General features: G+C 36.3%; 2 protein-coding genes across 7 annotated transcripts in view; both read left to right on the plus strand.

Annotated features, from left to right (window-relative positions):
- Positions 1-21,250, plus strand: part of IQCJ-SCHIP1 (IQCJ-SCHIP1 readthrough) — an 828,041-nt gene that overhangs the window by 214,208 nt on the left and 592,583 nt on the right. The window lies entirely within an intron of this gene.
- Positions 1-21,250, plus strand: part of SCHIP1 (schwannomin interacting protein 1) — a 624,116-nt gene that overhangs the window by 10,283 nt on the left and 592,583 nt on the right. The gene's annotated exons all lie outside the window — the stretch shown is intronic.

Consider the following 21,250-nt stretch of genomic DNA (forward strand, 5'->3'; position numbering starts at 1 on the left):
GAGACGGAGTTTCGCTCTTGTTGCTCAGGCTGGAGTGCAATGGCGCGCGATCTTGGCGTGAGCCACCGCGCCTGGCTATTTCCTTCCTTTTGTTCCACCTCTAATTGGTTATTACTATAATATAGGAAGCGATGGCTTTTTGTTGTATTGATTTGTATCTTTTCAATTTATTAAAATCTCTTAATAGTACTTCAGAATTTTTTTAGTGGATTCTTTCGAGGTTGTTAACCATGTAATTTTCTCAACTGCAAATAATACTAAATTGCCTCTTCCTTTCCAAAAGTCTTATTGTATTGATTAGAAAATTCAACCTAAGCAAAATAGGTTGTCTTATTATCCATAGTTGATGCGATGAGTTATGGTCTGTTCTTGCATTGTGGTATTGCTGTTTGGTTTTAACGGGTAGTTCTTTATATGTTGCTTTTTATTTCTATTTTATGGTATGTTGTTTAAGTTTTTACATCTCTGCTTAAAAACGAAATTCACCTGTAGTTTGTATTTCTTTCAAGTTTGAATCAGGGCTGTGCAAGCTTCGTAAAATGAAAAGCTTCCTAGATTTTCCTTTGGTCTCTAATTTCATATAGCATGGTAATTACATGTTCCTTGAAAGTTTGAAAAAAATTCTTGATAAAACCGTACAGCCACAATGTCTTTTCTTATAAATACTTTAAAATAACATTTTCATTTCTTCCATGGTTATTAGATATTCAGGTTTTCTACAATATCATAAGTAAATTCTGCTACTTACTTTCCAAGATATATAAGTGAATATCTTGAGATTAACTATCATATTATTTTGTTTAAAATTTCTCTCTGCATACTCCTTTATTACTTTTAATATTTATAATTTTGTTAATTGAAATTTTATAAGAATCAGCTATTGTGTTAATCAATTCTGTATTTTCTAATTAATACACTTTGATATTTTAATGTAATATTTAGTTTGCCTGTTAACTTTAGGTGTTTTGTTTTGTTTTTTTGAGATGGAGTCTCACTCTGTTACTCAGAATGGAGTGCAGTGGTGTAATCTCAGCTCAGGGCAACCTCTGCTTCCCGGGTTAAAACGATTCTCCTGCCTCAGCCTTCTGAGTAGCTGGGATTACAGGTGTACGCCACCACACTCGGCTAATTTTTGTATTTTTTTTTCTTTAGTAGAGATTGGGTTTCATCATGTTGGCCAGGCTAGTCTCGAACTTGTGACCTCAGATGATCTGCTTGCCTCGGCCTCCCAAAGTGTTGGGATTACAGGCTTGAGCCACCACGCCTGGCCAACTTTAGGTGTATTTTTGTTGTTCCATTTATTTTTTCTTCAGTTTAATGCATAGTTAATTTATTTGTTTTGATGAATTAATATTTTAACAACAAAGTTAAGGTTTTGAATTTGTTCTAATTCAGTTGTGTTCTCGATCTAATAAGCAGTATCCTCATTTTCTTTATATTGTAAAGATTTTGTAATTACATATTTTTTCCTATAACTCAACTATTATAGAAACATTTAAAATTTTTGTTTAATGACAATTCTAAAAATGTTAAATATTAAGACAATAATTTCTTATTTTGTTAAATTGAAGCCATCAAAGATGGCCTTTACAATTTTTACTTTGGGGTATTTGTGTAGGGATCGTTTTTTAGTTTCATATAGAAATATAATCCTACATTCTACTGATACTTGAAAAGAGTTTCTGATCTTTCTTTTTAAGGTACAAAGAGTTCTTATGTTAACTAATTAATCAAATATTCACATTCTTGATTCCTACTTTATTTTTTGTTTCCGTGATAGATAACAGGGATTCCCTGATAGATAACAAATAGATAGATATCTATTTGCTAATAGATAACAGATAACTGATAGATAAGTTACAAAACTTATTCTCAACATTTCTGAGTTATTTTATTTTAACTGATCATTTCATAAGCAGTATGTAGCTGAATTTTGTTTTAAACATAAACACAAGTTGTTTTCACTAATCAAGAGCTCATTTTAATAACATAAGAACAAGCTATTATTAAGTTTGATCTTCTTTTGCCTTGTTTTTGTTTTGTGTTTCTCATATTTCATTGCTTTTTTTGTTTCTCATATCAATTATATTTTATTTTATTTATTGTCTCAAATAAATTGGAATAGAAACATTCAATTTTTATTCTGTTGGTAGTTAATTACAGATGTGTAATAATAATACATGTATCTAGTTTTAATAATAAAAACTAAAATTTCATGTTAATTTATCCTTCTGCAATATTTTAAGTGAATATTCACTCATTCAATAAACATTTGTTGAGGACCTACTCCTTGCTGGGCATTGACCTAGCATTGGGAGTACAATAGAAACCAGGATAGAGGCATTTCCTATTCTCTTTAGTTTCTCCCCTATCTCATTATTCTCCTTTTCACTTCTCAGTTTGTTGTTTCTATATCTCTTTTATTTATATTTAAAACTTATCTTTCAAGAACTATTTTTTGACATATGCATTGTTTTGTGATCTTTTAACAACAGTTAATTAGATTTAGTGTATATTTTATTCATTGTGTTTATTCATGTATTTTTTACTTTTATTTTAAATTCAGGGGTAAATGTGCAGGTTTGTTGTAATATAGGTAAATTCCATGTCATGGGGGTTTGGTGTATAAACTATTTTGCCACCCAGGTAATAAGCGTAGTACCTGATAATTTAGTTTTTTGATGCTCATCCTCCTTCCTCCCTCCAGCTTCAAGTAGGCCCTGGTGTCTGTTGTTCCTTTCTTTGTGTCCATGTGTTCTCATCATTTAGCTCCCACTTATAAGTGAGAACATGTGGTATATGGTTGTCTGTTCCTGTGTTACTTCACTTAGGATAATGGCCTCTAGCTGCATCCAGGTTGCTGCAAAAGACATGATTTCATTCTTTTTGTGGCTGTTTAGTATTCCATGGTGTATATATACCACATTTTCTTTATCCAGTCTACTATTGACAGGCATTTAGGTTGACTCTGTGTTTTTGCTGTTGTGAATAGCACTGCGATTAGCATACATGAGCATGTGTCTTTATGGCAGAATGATTTATATTCCTTTGAGTATATACCTAATAATAGGATTGTTGGGTAGAATGATAATTCTGCTTCGAGTTCTTTGAGAAATGGCCAAACTGCTTTCCATAGTGGCTGAACTAATGTACATTTCTACCAGCAGTGTGTAAGTGTTCCCTTTTCTCTGCAATCTTACCAGCACCTGTTATTTTTTGACTTTTTAATAATGATCATTCAGACTGGTATGAGATGGTATCTTATTGTGGTTTTGATTTACATTGCTCTAATGATTAGTGATGCAGCATTTTTTCATATGCTTGTTGGCCACATGTATGTCTTCTTTTGAAAAGTGTCTGTTCATGTCCTTTGCCCACTTTTTAATGGGGTTGTTTTCTGCATGATGGTTTGTTTAAGTTCTTTATAGATTCTGGATATTAGACCTTTGTTGGATGCACACTTTGCAGATATTTTCTCCCATTCTGTAGGTTGTCTGTTTACTCTGGTGATAGTTTCTTTTACTGTGCCGAAGCTCTTTAGTTTAGTTAGGTCTCATTTGTCAATTTTTGTTTTTGTTGGAATTGCTCTTGGCATCTTTGTCATGAAATTTTTGCCAGGTCCTATGTTCAGAATGATATCTCCTAGGTTATCTTCCCTTGTTTTAATAGTTTTAAGTTTTATACTTAAGTCTTTAATCCATTTTGAATTGATTCTTATATATAGTATAAGGATTTTTAACTATTGTTTATACTATACTTTTTCTATTCTTATATTTATTTTTATTTTATTTCACTTTTTGAGACAGACAAAAAATCTTTATATACTTGAATATCAGATAATGTGTTTTTGGGGCACTTGTGCATGAATTTTAGCTGGGCTGGGTATAAAACTGTTGACTCTTCATGATTCATTGAAATATTCCATAATTATTGCTTTATTATCTTTTAGTAATTTGTGTTGAAGAAAATTTTAATGAATATATAGTTTTTATTTTTATATTATTATTGGAGAATAAACCGCATTCTATTTTAAATTACTGTCTAGCACAAGATAATTATAATAGCTAAAATTTATACCGCATTGCTATATGCTAAGCGTTCGTCTAAGTATTTTACATATGCTAACTCCTTTAAGTCCTTTTATAATTATAGCAATCCTATAAAATGGGAACTGTAATTATTCTCATTTTACAGGTGAAGAATCTGGGTCACAGAGATGCTAAGTAACTTTTTCTGACTACATGGAGAGTGGCAAGTGAAGCTAAAAGGCAGCCAGCTCAGCATGCTGGATCTTAACTTCCATGCTCTGATGCCTGTACTATTAATAAACAAATATTTTTCAACTTAAATAGGAAAGTAAATGAAAATATTAAATTGTTTTCTGTAGGGTTCAAAACAGCTTCATGTATGATATCAATTTCTTGGTATTTTTCTTGACTTCTTTCAGAACATAATATACTTGCTTGATAAAAGTAGGGAAAAGATGAGAAAGAGAAGAAGAAAAGTATTGATGTGCTAGAGGTGGCATATGGTGTCCGATTTGATCTTCTCAATACCACTTTGAGGTATACTACATGAAGTAAAATTGTAGAATCATGTCATACGAGTTCAAGTCCAGTGTTATTCCCTCTGCACTGTGAGTCTGAAGGACAGTCTATGTGCAGGCTGTAAAGAAGAAATCAAAGACAACCACACTCTCAGCTATACTCCTACACATGAATAAAGTTACTTTTAGCAATATAATTTTTAAAAAATAAATAACATATTTCTAATTTAAAACGATGCCTAGCTAGTATCCCCTCATGCAACTGCTTCTAATTCTCCATTAGCATACCTACGAAGTCACAGTAAAAAATGAAAATGAATATTACCATTGAAATCACAGATGACTGATAACCTTTTGCTAGGATCTTAGAGGCATGTGCACTGACAATAGAATCAATGAAGGTGCCTGTAACCCCAGCACTTTGGGAGGCCGGGGCGGGCGGATCATCTGAGGTTGGGAGCTCGAGATCAGCCTGATCAACATGGGGAAACCCAGTCTCTACTAAAAATACAATATTAGCTGGGCATGGTGGCACATGCCTATAATCCCAGCTACTCAGGAAGGCTGAGGCAGGAGAATTGCTTGAACTTTGGAGGCAGAGGTTGCAGTGAGCCGAGATTGCGCCAGCCTGGGCAACAAGAGCGAAACTCGGTCTTGAAGAAAGAAAGAATCAATGAAGGTGGACAACATTGAGAACACATGCTTCAGCTCATGAATGAAGCAACCTCAAAATCTGAACTGGCAAGGTGAATGGGAATGGTCTGATTGTGGTGAGGGTAGTCAGATTTTTGTTGCTCCCTCCCCATGCTCCATACACCGCACCACCTTTCTTTAGTCACATTAATAACTTTCTTCCCCTCAGTCTTCCCTATGTAAGTCAATACTGAGCTGATCAAGAGAAATGCTGGAATTCATTCTTCTTTCCTCCCTTTCTTTACCACTATTCCATCTTTCCCATTTACATCTAATCAACCACCAAGTCTTGTTGACTTTATCTTCAAGAATGTATCTTAAATATGTAACTTTTTCTCATCAGCATTGCCAACACCCTGGCCTAAGCCACCGTCATCTCTCACCTTCATCACTACCATAGCCTCCTACACTGAGTTCCCTGCCTGCTCTAATCTAATCTCCACAAAGCACCCAGTGTGAACTTATTAAAACTTAAACTGCATTAATATTACCTACTTATTTCAGTAGCATCAAATTTCCCTTTATGTAAAATCCAAATTCCTTGCCATATCCTAACTCCAAAGTCCTATGTGATCTGGTCATTTTCTCTTCATATTGCCTCAGCCACACCAGCCTATAAGTTCATCAAACACATAAAGCTCTTATTTATTTATTTATTTATTTATTTATTGCCTTAGAGGTTTGCGTATCACAGTCCTTGTGTTTGGAGTGTTTTCCTTCTTCTTCATCTGGCAGCCTCTCCCTCATGATTTGAGTATTAAGTGGCAGCTCCTTATAGAAGTTCTTCACAACTACCATTATTCTCTCAAACTGCATGCTAGTGTTTTTCCTTTATCTTGTTTATCATAATTTATCACTCCTTAATTAATAATTTTACTTGTTTATATTGTTTGTCTTTCCATTAAAACCACAGGAGGGCAAGGACCATACCTAGTTTCTGTCAATGCGCAGGGCCTGCCAAAGGGTTGATACTACATAAACATTTCTTGAACAAATGAATCAGAGAATCCACCAGATGCTGCAGCCCTCAAGAAACAACAGGAGAGGAAATAAATGGCGGCATATTTCAATGTGGTGGCACATTTCAACGTTCTTACAAGTGAAGGGTAAGATAGACGGAAAATCTTGGGAACATTCACAAATAGCACTGTGGTCTTTTTTATACTCCACTAGAGCAGAATGCCAGAGGGCAGGGGTAAGAAAAGATTCTGCTGCACCCAACGAAGCTACACTAAGCAGTTGCCTCCTAACACCAAATATGGGGCATGAGGCTATGCTTGTCAAACAAACTTTTTATCTACAGACCTAAGACGATGACATTGGTAATGGGGAACTAAGTAATTTAGAATAGGCTTTCCATCGAAGACAACTAAAAAAAAGGTGGATAACACATAATACAACATTATGCGGCTATAAGAGGGAGTGAAGAATATCTTAATTTACTCATACAAAGTGATCTTTGGGATGTATTATTGAAAGAACAAAATAAAGAGTCAGAAAGGAATATATAGTATTCTACTTTTCATGTAAGAACAGCAGGAAGGGGGTGGTAAATAAGTGTCTGTACTTGTATGTTTTTGTTTGCCAAAAAAGAAACAACAAAAGGAAAACCTAATGGAACTAATGAAAATGTTTACCTATATGTGGACAGAGGAAGCATAGCAAAGTGGGCAGGGATGAAAATAAAACCTCTTTGAATATACCTGGTTTTAAAGTTTTGAACTTGGAACAAGGTAAATATATTCATAGAAGAAAACCAAATAAAAAACAAAATAAGGGAATCTCTAAAAACAGAAAATTAATGAAAACAAATGAATCTAATTGTTTGTGCCATAACCACACAAAGAAAAAAATTATTTCAGGTGACTTTGGGACATAATATTCTGACTACCAGTAAAAGATTTTAAAGAAAAACATTCTTTAAAAGAATATTATGTAAGGGAATACAGAACTACAAGGAAATCTTAAACTTTACTCAATAGTGATATTGGCATTACTATACTGTACTTATTTTACAGTGTTTTAATTTATAATTTACATAATGCAAGTAATTATCTTACTGTTGTAAGGAATCAAGATTTTTAGATATGAGAAAAGAAATTCAGTATAAAGCTAAAACATTATGTAAAATATGTAAAATTCTGCATTATTAAATATAAAATAGCAATATAAGCATAAAATTTTATTTATAAAATGTATATTCTTAGTTCTTTTCCATGAAAAAGCATAAAAGAAAATAACTCAACAGAAATTAGTGCACCTAGTTTGTGGTCTCCAAATACTATTCCAGTCTGTAAAAACCAGAATTACTTAGAGGAGCGGCTGATTCCAGCTCTCAGGCAAAAAATATACAAAATACACAAGGAAGGTTCCAAAGACCAATAGAGTTATGTGAAAGTACACAGAGGTTTTTCTGGCCAAAGATGAGAATATTTGGGCATAAAAAAGATAATGAAAGCAATTATTGGCAACAGAATAAATATGTAAAAGCCTATGTGTTTATAATAAAATTATAAAAGGAGAGAAATTATTGGACACCACTGTAACAAGAAGAGCAACACTCTTTAAAAATATGTGATTAATATGAAAAAATTAAGCATATATTAAGTTTCTCCAGCATGAACTATATTTTGGGAAACCAAATAAACCTAGGTAATAAGATCAATTTCTGCTTTACAAAGTTCCAGGCAATAAATATAGGAAAAGTGAAATGATTAGAAAATCACAATTTTGCAACCCCAATGAAATAATAGATTATGATCTAAGACAATCATGAATGGATGAAGCCACAAGATGAAAGGTTGATGGGAAATTATACCAAGGATGCATCAGATTGTCATCACTTGAACCCAATTATTCATCAATCTCAGCATCAGTAAGAGTGTATCTTCTTGCTGTAATTCAACCCAAAGTACACAGCATCACCACAGTACATATCCCTGTAAAAATAATAAAATCCAAATCTAATCGAGTCTTTGTGGCTAACTTCCACTATAGGAAATATGGCAGGTGAAGGATCTAGTTAAATGACAAAGAAGCCAACTGAAAAACTGAATGTGTGATATTCTGTGAGACAATTGACTCGGGTTCTTCAATAAATCAATGGGATGAAAAATAAAATTATTTTAAAAAAAGAAGAAAGAGGAAGCTACTCTACATTAAATGACATTTAAAGGATGTAACAACCAAATACAGTATGTGGGCTTTGTTTGGCTTCTGACTCAAACAAACCAAGACAATTAGAAAAAGTTTAGTATTAGATAGTATCAAAATACCATTAATCCTTTTCTTAGTTGTATTGATGACAACATAGGCCATAATTATTGAAGAAAACTTCCATGTTATTTTAGAGATAGATATTGAAATTCTAGGGGTAAAATAACCTGATATCTGGCACTTATTTTAAAAATAGTTGAGAAGGAAGAAGAGAAAGAAAAAGAGACAGGAGGAAGACAGGTAGAGAGAGGAGGGAAGGCAGAGAAAGAGATGTAAAGTATAAGAAAATCTTAATAATAGTTAAAATCTGGGTAATGGATACATGAGAGCTCATTGCAACATTCTATTTTGTATATTTAAAATTTTTCAGAGAAATAAGAATGTTGAATTTATAGCTTGGTGAAGTAAACAGAGTCTTGGTTAGTTGGCTAGTTAGGTGAGACAAATACTTTATTCCTCATTATAATGATATGTGTTCTTTGTATTTGCCAGTTATTTAATATAAAGACATTAGGACTATAATGCTTTAAAGGGGGGCATGAAATAACTATCAAGAAAGGGAGCAATTACTTTGCTGAGATCTAGGAGAGGAGGGGAACCCAGAAAGTAGAACTCAGCATTCAAGGTAGTACATCCCTCATAAGAATGTCATGAGGACTGAGAGGTTAGTGATTGTCAAGTGCTTGCAGCAATGACTGGAATGTGCGTGCTAGTTAAATAACTAAAATGATTTTTAATATGTAATCGGTTTCCCTACTACATTATCCATATTTCAGTTTTGCTTTATTTTCAATTTCTTTTTAATTAATATATCATCATACAATGTACAAAGATTTCTGGATATTGGCATCGTACTTTTTTGGTTTTGTTTTAGGGAATCATGGGATGTATATAGAGTTTCTATTCTAAAAGCACTAGTCTTTCTTGGGCTGGGCAGATTTTTCTCATCCTGTTTATAGCTACCCCCTTGTATTTTTTCTGGAGTTGATTGTCAATACGGGGCATCTTTGCAATGACCATGTTATCTGATGGTCATCTCAACACCATATAATGATGTCCATAATCAACATCACTTTGTGTAGATTAAAAATAATAGCTGTTAAGCAACATTTCATCAGGGTCACATGATAACCAATAATTAAAACAATTTTTTCAATTTGGTTGGCTGTTTTAATATTTGCGTACATTACCTATGGTAAATGGATGCAATAGAGATGCTAGAACAAAATTCTAGCATTATCTTTGAAGTTCTTTGTTTGAATATTCACTATGTCCTCTAATAGTAAGAATGGCCCAAGATCTGCCCAGCCATGTTCCCATGTGGATATGGGTACCAAATCTGAAGGGAAAACATCTATTTTCAAAAAGGGCTGGTCAGCGCAAGGAAAAGTGTCCTTGAGGCATTTGTGAACTTATACAGGCCACCAAGTTTGCTCCATTCATTCATCTCAAGGAGCATCAGCGTATAGAGGCACGAAGGTGGTATATGGGTGAGAAGGTGGTACGGAGGTCACAATTTTGTTTCTTGCTCTTGTCTTCACCTGCTCCAATCTGTGGCCTGAAGCTACACTGCAATTCTGATAGGTCACTATTAACAATGCCAAGTAGCAATCTGTCAGGAAGAATTATAAATGAGCCAAAGAGCAGGTGGTTAATGCAAAAGGAATCTCAGACAAATAGGAGACATAAGTCTTTCCTCCATACTTCCTTTCCTCTGTTTATTGTCCTGATATCAGATTAGCTGCTGGAGTTTAAAAGCCTATTATTCTCAAGATGTCTTTCAGACAATTTAACTCAATAGTTATAGGGCAAAAAATAATTCTCTCTCGGAGGTGGAAGGGAAGGGGAAACAGAGCACACACAACTTCTTTCAGATAATTTTTTTCTTTAGAAGAAAATTAAAGTAACATAGGGGACTTCCAAGAACCAAGGGGTCCACAAATTACTGTTAGATTCGTGCTAGAAATCCAGGCCAGATACTACAGGGCAAGATGATTATGGTTCCCAGTACTGTCCAAAGACAGTAATCTGTGAGTACCATGTCTTAGGTGCTATGTAACTATCCATCTTGAATGGAGTGCCTGTGCTGGACAGCATGGACAAGTTAACCACTCTAGGACTCTGCTTCTACACAAACATGATAAGGAGGTTGGATTAGTTGCTCATTTGGATCTTTGGAAACTGCTATTCTAGTATGATGGCTTCATGTGCTAGGGCAAGTGGCCTGCTTCTGAAACTCAAAAATATTTGTTTTAGCAGGATAAGAAAAATGTGGATTATTTTCATCTTACTATTTAATAGTAGCAGAATGTCTGTGTGGTTCCATCTCTGCCTCAATAGTAAATGACAAATACTAATATAATCAAGTTGATTTGGGGTTCTCAATAAGCTCTCACAAGCTGGAACTGCCAACGAGATGCTTTAAAAATATTCCCTTTTGTATAGTGAAACAACTTTGGAAATTGTAACTTAAGAATATGAGTATTTATTTATAGCCCACCTTTTGGCTGAGATTTGACATGACGTTTTTCTTTCAACAAAACTCTGAAGTGGCACACCATGATTTGTAATTTTATTTGGCTATTGTCTGCATATGCAGACAATTGAAATGCAGAAAGTTGAAAAATTATTCAAATTCTACCAAGTGTATTTACAGTTACTTTTCTGTGACTCAGATTCCCTCCTTCAAAACATTTTAAAGTCTCCATATAGAATCAAGATTGGACTTTTCAGAGAAGGGAAAAAGTAAATGAAAGAGACCAAGTTTTTGTCTTTTCTCAGAGGATGATGAAGTAGATTTTAGAGTCTTAAACTACATTGAAGGGCTGGGTTGGCAATAAATCTCTACTTGCAACTTGAACTACTGAGTCTCCATAGATGTTTCAGACCTGTGTCTGACTGGCTCATAAGAATTAGGAATACTCTTCATAAGCATCTTAGAGTGGATCAGAATCAGATCATTACCCGAAAGGGAAAGGTAGTTTACTCCTGAGTCCTTACCTCATTACAATTTTTTCTTATCAACTGACCCAAATTTAGACTTTGCAGATAGAAATGACATGTATCCGACAGCATATTAGCCTAAATGATTCAATATAAAGGTCAAACCTCACATAAAAGAAGAGTCCAATAAAGAAGTTTACAACATTCCCCAGAATTGCTCTTCTCATTTAATTTAATAATCCCAGCACTTTGGGAGGCTGAGGTGGACAGATCATGAGGTCAGGAGTTCGAGACCAGCCTGGCCAATATGGTGAAATTCTATCTCTACTAAAAAAAAAAAAAAAAAAAAAAACAACTAGCCAGGCATGGTGGTGTGCGCCTGTAGTCCCAGCTACTCAGGAGGCTGAGGCAGGAGAATCACCTGAACCCGGGAGGTGGAGGTTGCAGTGAGCCGAGATCACGCCATTGCACTCCAGCCTGGGTGACAGAGCGAGACTCCATCTCACAAAAGTCAATCAATCAATCAATCAATCAATAATAAGATTTGCCCATCTTAAAATATTATTCTCAGCACTCTCTACTCTCTTGCTTCCCTCACATTCTTCCTCAGGCTCCTTCATTTTTTCTTTCTGCCTCCAGCAGCATCCTCTCTCATCCCTGCTTACATATCCACCTATAGAGTCCTTCCTCCCATCAAGCATGGCCTGCTTCCAGGTCCCATCTCTCAGGCTCTGAGAAATAGTGCTTTAACTTCTGCCAGCCCTTCTGGCATTTACTGTATAGATTTCTGTTCATGTTGCCCCTGCCCTGTGTTAAAACTATATATGCTTATGTGTTTTCTTCTAGACTGTAAACTTGAAGACAGACGTGGTTGATGTTGACCTTTGTATTTATTGCATTATATTCTACATAATGGATATTCCATAAATTTTTTGAATTGAATTCACTTGCATTTAGTCTTTCTTAATGTATAATTAATAATGTACACATATATGTCAATGATACGGGAAAATGAAGTAAAATGAAGGTTAAATGTAAAGAAGAAACAAGAGTAGAAACTTCAGAAATTATCAGTGTTCATTTTTTGCACTAGGATGCACAGTTAGGTTTCATTGCCTCAAACCTTAATTTCCAATAATAAATAATGTCATTCCCGAGAGAGGAGGAAAGAGGAAAACAACCGAAATTTGAGGAGTCAGGGATTATGCTTGCTGCTCTTTTTTTTTTTTTGGAAGTAAAATATGTTTACTTGTTAAAATATTTGAGCCGAAATTATTTCACATGTGAACATAAAAAATAGATTTAAGACTATTCTCCATTTAGCAGAATTTGCTCTGAATTTCCCAAGTACCCCAGAACCTATAGAGGGAGTACTTTCTTATTTTAATATGTTTAATTGACAAATAAAAATTGCATATATTTAAGGTGTACAACATGGTGATTTGATATACATATATATTGTGTACCAATTACCAGAGTCAAGTTAATTAACACATTACCACCCATAGTTACCATTTTGTGTATTTATATGTATGTGTGGTAAGGACACTTAAAATCTGCTCTCTCAGGCTGGGTGTGGTGGCTCACACCTGTAATTCCAGCATTTTGGGAGGCTGAGGTGGGTGGATCACCTGAGGTCAGGAGTTCAAGACCAGCCTGGCCAACATGGCGAAACCCCGTCTCTACTAAAGATACAAAAACTTAGCTGGGCATGGTGGGGGGATACCTGTAATCCCAGCTACTCAGGAGGCTGAGGCCAAATTGCTTGAACCTGGGAGGTGGAGGTTTCAGTGAGCCGAGATCGCACCATTGCACTCCAGCCTGGGCAACAAGAGTGAAACTCTGTCTCAAAAAGAAAAAAAAAAAATCTGTTCTCTCATCAAATTTCAAGCAAACAATACAGCATTATTAACCATAGTTACTATGCTGTACATTAGATACCTATAATTTATTATCTTATAAACTAAATATTTATACTCTTTGACTAACATCTTCCTATTTCCTTCACTCCCTAGGCCCTGGCAACTATCGTTCTACTGTCTACTTCTATGGGTTTGATTTTTTTAGATGTTATGTATAAATGAGATCATGCCTTGTCTTTCTGTGTCTGGCTTATTTCACTTAGCATAATTTTTCTGCAGGTTGATCCATTGTTGTTGTAAGTGGTATGACTTCCTTTTTTAAGGCTGAGTAATATTCCATTGTGTGTGTGTGTGTGTGTGTGTGTGTGTGTGTGTGTGTGTACATAATCACCTTTTCTTTATCCATTTATCCATTGATGGACTCTTAGGTACTTCCATAGTGTGGCTGTTGCGAATAATGCTGCAGTGAACATGAGAGTGCAGATACCTCTTTGACACACTGATTTCATTTGCTGTAGATATAAACCCAGAAGTGGGATTGATGGGTCATATGATAGTTCTATTTTTAATTTTTCGAGGAACCTCCATACTGTTTTCTATAATGGCTATACCAATTTACATTTCCACTAACAGTTGCACTTGGTACTTTAAGACAGGCATTGCTATTCTCATTTTTCAGGGAGGTTGAGTCACTGCACAGCCTGCCACAGACAATAGAGCTGGGACCAGAATCTGGACTCAGGAGTGTGGGTTGCCAAAGGCCTAGCTCTTCTAATGTGCTGTACTGCCTTCCTAAGCAATGATGATGGTAAAATGTTTTTTTAAAAAAAAGATATGCAGACACACCACTGTCAAAGAAAGCCCAGTTTTCTTTTACAAGTTTGCTTCTATATTTCAGATGCCACTAATGCACTGTCAATCAGAAAAGGGCAGGATTTGTAAGTTCCAATCAACTTAGGGTCACCCTGAGGTCTTTCAACTTCCCTGTACCTAGAATGATCTTCCCCCTAGTAGCTGCGCCCTTATCCTGTCACTCCATCAGGTCTTTGCTCAAATGACATCTGTCAGAAAGACTTGCTCTGACCATCCTGTGTAAATCAGCAGCCCCATCCCCACCCACCAAGCTTTCTGGCTCAACATACTGTATTTTTCCTCAGAGTATGCATCCCCATCTGACACACCATGAGATATTTGTCTATTTGTGTGGTGCCAGTCTTCTGCTCACTAGAATGTAAGCAAGCTCTATGAGGGTAGGGAGTTTGCTCTGTTTGTTCACTGATGTATCCTCATTGTCCAGAGAGTGCCTGGCACATGGCCACCCCCAGTATGTATTTATTGAATGGATGAACAAACACAGAAAAGACCATTCTACAGCTCACATAGATGATTCATAATTAATGCTATTGGCAGTTCCTCAATGACTAGAAAATTTGGAATATTTTTCTTCCCCCAATTTACATTCCTGGTGTCCAGAAGATTCCTGCCTTTGCTCACCTTACCACTTCCCAAACTACTCCCTACAACTTCTCTCTTGTTTTTGCCATAGGTGACTTTTATCACAAATCAACCATATAGACCTAGAATTGTTATTAATTGTGAAATTTCTTGCAGCAAATCATACGTGTCACCTACAGGCTCCCCAGGATCTTTGTAGTACTACACACAATTCAGCACACAACTTATAGATTAAAAAGAAAAACTTGTATTGCTGATTTCTTCACATTACCAAACTTGCCTACTCTGATAGCTTATGTTTGGAGCATTTATTAAGGGCCCTGTAAGTTAGATGCTGATAGAATAATATAATACACGGACACTCTTGTATTGCCTGCAGAGCTCTCAGTCCTAGTTTTGCAGATCAGATCTGCACCTGAAGCCACTCAAACACTTCACACCCAAAGCCAAGTGCTACAGAAGCCTCCGTGAAGAACAATGTAGAAGTGTTTGTAAAGGAGCAATAACACTGCAAGGCAAGCATCAGAAATAGTAAAGGGGACTGAAAGAATAGAAAATAAAACAAAAAAAATCAAATTTTTTAAAATAAACATCGTTGGCCCATGCCACATCTTTTCTGGATTAAGCTAGATGGACATTTTGTGAAAGTTCATTTTGGAGAGTTTTTTGTTTTTGGCCCCAGTTCACCTACTCCAGCCCTCTTGCATCTCTGTAAAGCCTCTCCTCTCTGTACCTTTTGCTTCACCATTCAGTGCATGAGTGTCTTCAACAAAAAACTTTTTGTTGAAAATTCTAGGATTTACCTTCTCATAATACAAATTCTCAAAGCTTTATAATGAGTCAGAAACTTTCCAAGCCTTCTAACAGAAAGAGCATTAAATCATTATTTAATTTTAAAACATATGGTTTACTGAATTCTTTATTGATTTTACAAACAAGATTATTTGGCTGACTGAGTATATGGGTGTGTATACTTTGCTCTCTCAAAACTGTCAAATTAGTCTGCACAGGAAGATGCACCCCTTATGTTTCAGTCACTCAAGTGCTCTTTATCTCTAACAGTCTGAGCTTCAACAGGGACTGTTTTATCCTCTTACTCATGTGAATGTGAATAGGAAGTCTATACAGGTGCTGGTTTGAGTAATGGAATTTACGACAGACCCAGCCTCTGTTCTATCAAATTAAGGATACAGATGGCCCTTTGAATACAACAACAACAAAAAAGTGAGGCAAGAGTAGAATCTGAAGGGACACCCATAAAACCAAGGTGACATAGGCATTTACTACACCAAAAAGAAAGGTTGTTTAGATTTGTTGCCAGAACGTAAAAAAAGAAAAATGTGTGTTCCTCATTTTCCTGGCTCTGCAGCTTATATTTTCAACATCTTTGTGAGGGCTTCTGTTGCCATTGCATTACTTTCTGGCTGTCTGGATGGGTTGCTCTGGTGTGGAGCGAGCATCCTCACAATGATCCCACACTGTCTGCAGGCCACTCCTGATCTTCCACAATGTATTTCTGATGCCCACAAATGGCCATGGGCTTGTTTCTTCCCTGACGTAGCCTTGTCTACCGTGTGAGGGAGTGAGGTCCCACACACTGGATCTCAAAGAAGGTTCAAACATACACTTAAGCATTCCTGTGATAATTGCCAACCCATGGGGGACAGTAGGAGACTATAAATTGTCCTGTCTGGCTATGTCATTCCCTCATACTGCAGAGTAAAGCAAGACCTTGGGGAGGTAGAGGTTAGAAGCAGGGGCCTCAGAAGGTGACTGTGGAGTGTCCTCTTTCCCTGAGGTACCTCTATTTGCCTCCTTTGTCTGTAGCCCTCTCAATTTAATCTCAATATTCTGGCTCCCAGGGAAAGCTGCTTTTTTTTTTTTTTTTTTTTTTTTTTGAGATAGGGTCTCACTCTGTCACCCAGGCTGGAGTGCGAATGGCATAATCGTAGCTCACTGCAGCTCAAACTAAATCCTGGACTCAAGGAATCCTCCTATCTTAGTCTACCAAGTTGATGGGACTACAGGCAAGTACCACCACACCCAGCTAGTTTTTAAAAAGATTTTTTTTTTGTAGAGATGAAATCTCACTATGTTGCCCAGACTCATCTGTAATTCCTGTTCTCAAGCAGAAATCTGCATTTTTAACCAACACTTCAATAGGTTCTAAGGCAGAGACTTCAAGGAGAATGCCTGCTACGTTCAAAAAGCACCAGCCTACATAGTAAAGCCGAGTCCCTTAGCGTGGTATTGGTGAATTTTTCCAGCTCCCTCTTCTGCTCCTCTCCTGCACCCACTTCACTTAACCCACAACTCCCTGCAATTAACATTTGGCCAAAACTGAACTCTTAACATTTTCTGAACACACGGAGTTACATCAAAATTCAGAGCTTTTGCACCGACTACAATGGCCTGTTTTCATCTTCAGGCCTTGCAAAGTCCTGCTTATTTTGAAAGAGGCAGTGTGGAGCCACTTTATCTGATAATGCCCTATGGTTCCCTTCCTGCTCTTTTATGCACCCTCTGTCTTCTTTCTCAAGCCATAATTCCTCCTCTCTCCCTCTGTGGGGTTAATTCGCTTACACTTCTCATTGTCCTTATCATACTCAATGGAAAAACCAAATCACCTCCTCCTTAAAGTTTTTGCAGATTTTGTGAGATATGCTGTTTCTTAAATATCCATGATGTTTTCTTAACCTGCCTTATGTCACCTGTCACATTCTATCTTAAAATTAATGGTATATGTTAATAATATTTACTGTTAATAATGTGCTAATTATGTAATGTACTATTATGTAGTACCACTAATAAAATTAATAGCACATATTGATAGTACATAGTACATATATGTACATATATATAGCACTTGATATGTGTCAGACCCTATTCTAAGCACTTTTCATAATTAACACACTTAAGCCTCATATCAACTTTTGGAAGTGTCACTATTACCCCCCATTTTGCAGGTGAGGAAATTAAAAACAGAAGGGCTAAGTGGCTTACAAAGTCACACCACTACTAAGTGGCTAAGCCATAGTTCAAACCTGGTTAGTCTTGTTCCAGAGACCATGCTCCTAACTGTTACTCTACATAGCTCCTTTGTGTTTTTGGAGTTGTTTATGTACTTAACACGACTTTTTTTTCTTCCCTCTTGGCATCCTGTGGCTCCTGGAACATGGTGAGCACTCTTCAAACACTTGAGGAGTGAAACTACATGGGAAGAGTTTTTTTAGGAGGTCATAGAATTCTCACGTTTGGGAACTGACATGATTTGACTCTGTGTCCCCACCCAAATCTCATCTTGAATTGTAATCCCCACATGTCAGAAGAGGGGCCTAATGGGAGGTGATTAGATTATGGGGATGGATTTCCCCTTTGCTGTTCTCGTGATAGTGAGTGGGTTCTCATGAGATCTGATGGTTTAAAAGTGTGGCACTTCCCCTTTCAATCTCTCTCTCCTGTTGCCATGTAAGATGTGCCTTGCTTCCCCTTTGCCTTCCGTCATGTTTGTAAGTTTTCTGGGGCCTCCCCAGTCATGTGAAACTGTAAGTCAATTAAACCTCTTTTCTTTATAAATGACCCAGTCCCAGGTATGTTTTTATAGCAATAGGAGAACGGACTAATACAGGAACCCTTAGGGAAAAAACTTCATTATATCTGAAACTGAAATTTCTGGTGATGGTAAAGGGCAAAGCATAAATCCGTACTGGAAGTTAGCATTTTCTCATGATTCTTCTTCTCTTGCATACCTTTCCAAGTAGTTTTCATTTTCATTTGTTTTACATTTTCTTAAGATATGTTCACACTTATATTTTAAACTATGGAAAGAAAAAGATCACTTGCAAATGCCAACTGGGAAGAGTGTTTATTTTAAACAATGCTGTTCCGGTGCACCAGCTGCTGTTGCTATGCTTGTATATTGGTTGCTAGGGGTAGTGAGGAGAATTAAGCCTGTGATGTCAAGGTGACAAGTTGCTTCAACCCTATGTTCTATTGGCTAGGATTTTTCTGAGATGAGGAAATCTCAGTCCTGAGCAATTAGCAAAGTACTTGGTTTCAACTTGCAGAAATAACTCATATTGCAATAAGTTTATTGTAATCTAGTAGTTTTCTAAGGGTAGAAGAAACTCGGAAAGTAAATATAGTACCTGGGATTTTAGGATTCAGAATTTGGACAAGATTTTTTAAAAGTTTACATTTCCCCCAAGGGATAATTAAACCATTACAGAAAGTTAATATCAGTGCTGTAAAATGAGAAAAGGAAAACCTGCCTTTAATGCCAGGGTATGTTATCTGTCCAAAAGGGGATTTATTTAAATATGTCAGTTGCCATATCAACACTGGAAAAGAGACTTCACTATTTTCGAAATTATCCCACTATGAAAGTAGGTTTGTAGATTCGAGTTTATACAGAAAATATTTGTGTGTGCATAATGTTGCCTGGAATTTACATTCAAACTGATTAAAAATTCCTTAAGCACCTGCTACAAGTAAAACATTGTCTTAGGAATGCAGAGTGATCCAACCATCCCAGTTTGCTTGGAGCTGCCCCAGTTTTGGTACTGAAAAATCTCATGTCCTGGGAAACCCCTCAGTCCTGGGCAAACTGAGACCGGTGGTTATCATACAAAGAGAAAACCAAATAAGACTAAAATTATGTCCAAACACTTTCATTGTGGCTAGGAACACAAGTTGAACACCCTAATAAGGAACACAAATAATAAAAGCTTGCATTATTGAGTGCTTATATGAGGTAAGTATTATACTATTATCTCCATTTTAAAGATAAGCAAACTGAGACATAGTAAGGGTAAATAAGTTAGTTAGTGAAGGCACCAGAATTTAAACCCAGAAAGTTTGGTTTTAGAGCATACACTACAATCAGCACTGTATGGAAAGATATCTAAGAGCAGAGACAGGCAGAGATGGGAGCACTGGGGAAGACATCATGGAGGGGCTAGATGGCTACATCTTGGCTTTAAAAAGTGAGCAAAAGTAAGAGTTAGAAAGGAGATGAAAGTATCATTTATAAATGGGAAAATCACACAAGCAGTGGTCTGTAGTGATCACACAAGCAGTGGACTGGAGTGAAGAATGGGCTGAACCTTCTTTTTCCAGAGGCAGAAAGGAGTAAGTTTTAGGGAAAAGGTTGGAGCCCTTTTCCCTAATAGGGGGGTACTGGTACAAATGAATGTAAAGAGAGAGAGAAAGAGAGAGAGAAGAACAAAGAAAAGAAAAGAAAGAGAAAGAAAAGAATAGAGAGGGAGAGGGAAGAAGGGAGGGAAGGAGGGAAGGGAGGAAGGAAGGAAGGGAGGGAGAAGCTTTCCTAGGAGAGATTTAACCTCTTGGGTCACAGACAAGGTCACCTACTGAGCGGTGGATTGAGAGCTAGGGGAAAGCTGTGAAGGTTTACAAGCTCCTTTCTTGAGCTGTTTTAGGAAATCCACAGGTGTCCAACAAGAGGATTCCTGAGCAGTAGGAGGGAGTTGAAATTGCACAGTAATAATTTTTAATTCAAAAATAACATAGCCATATTATAAGAAATTCTGGAAAATGGAGAAATCTTCCATAAAGTATGCTATAATTTTGGATTTTTACCATATGTTTGTTTCTTTTTTTCTTTTTCTTTTATTATTATACTTTAAGTTTTAGGGTACATGTGCACATTGTGCAGGTTAGTTACGTATGTATACATGTGCCACGCTGTTGCGCTGCACCCACTAACTCGTCATCTAGCATTAGGTATATCTCCCAATGCTATCCCTCCCCCCTCCCCCAACCCCACAGCAGGCCCCAGAGTGCGATGTTCCCCTTCCTGTGTCCATGTGATCTCATTGTTCAGTTCCCACCTATGAGTGAGAATATACGGTGTTTGGTTTTTTGTTCTTGCGATAGTTTACTGAGAATGATGATTCTTTCACACCTAAAATCATAGTGTACTTATAGATCCAAATCATGCATTTGTTTTTTACTTAATTTATTACTATAAGTATTTTCCATGTTATTGCATAGTCTTTATAACCATCATTTTAAAGACCAGTTAATACATTATCTGGGGTTTTAAGATTCAGAATTTGGACAAGAGTTTTAAAACTTTACAGCTCTCCAAGGATGATTAAACCATTACAGAAGGTTATATCCGTGTTGGGTATCTATCCTGGGTATAGTCCATAATTTCCTTAATCATTATACTTCGTTAATATTTCTAACGTTTTCCTTCCATAAATGAAGCTAGAATGACATCTTCAGGCTTATATTTTTCCCACAATCCAGCTAGCTCTCATATGGGTCTTATATTTTGTCTTTTCTTAGCTTCCATGTGGCTATGAATAAGATTCATTTTTCACATAAACATACACATGCTAACATATCCAAGTGTGTGTTGTCTCCTTTAAAGAAGCAAAAAGTGTTTCCTCGGAGAAGCATTTACTTATCTTGCTGGCATTTTTAATGACTTTGAATGTTTGGATCTGTTTTCTTCTTTGTAATGCCTTCAGATATATCTTTGCCACCTGGGAATATTGGCCTGTGTCTT

This window comes from Homo sapiens, chromosome 3 (genome assembly GCF_000001405.40).
Source record: "Homo sapiens chromosome 3, GRCh38.p14 Primary Assembly".
NCBI lineage: Eukaryota > Metazoa > Chordata > Mammalia > Primates > Hominidae > Homo > Homo sapiens.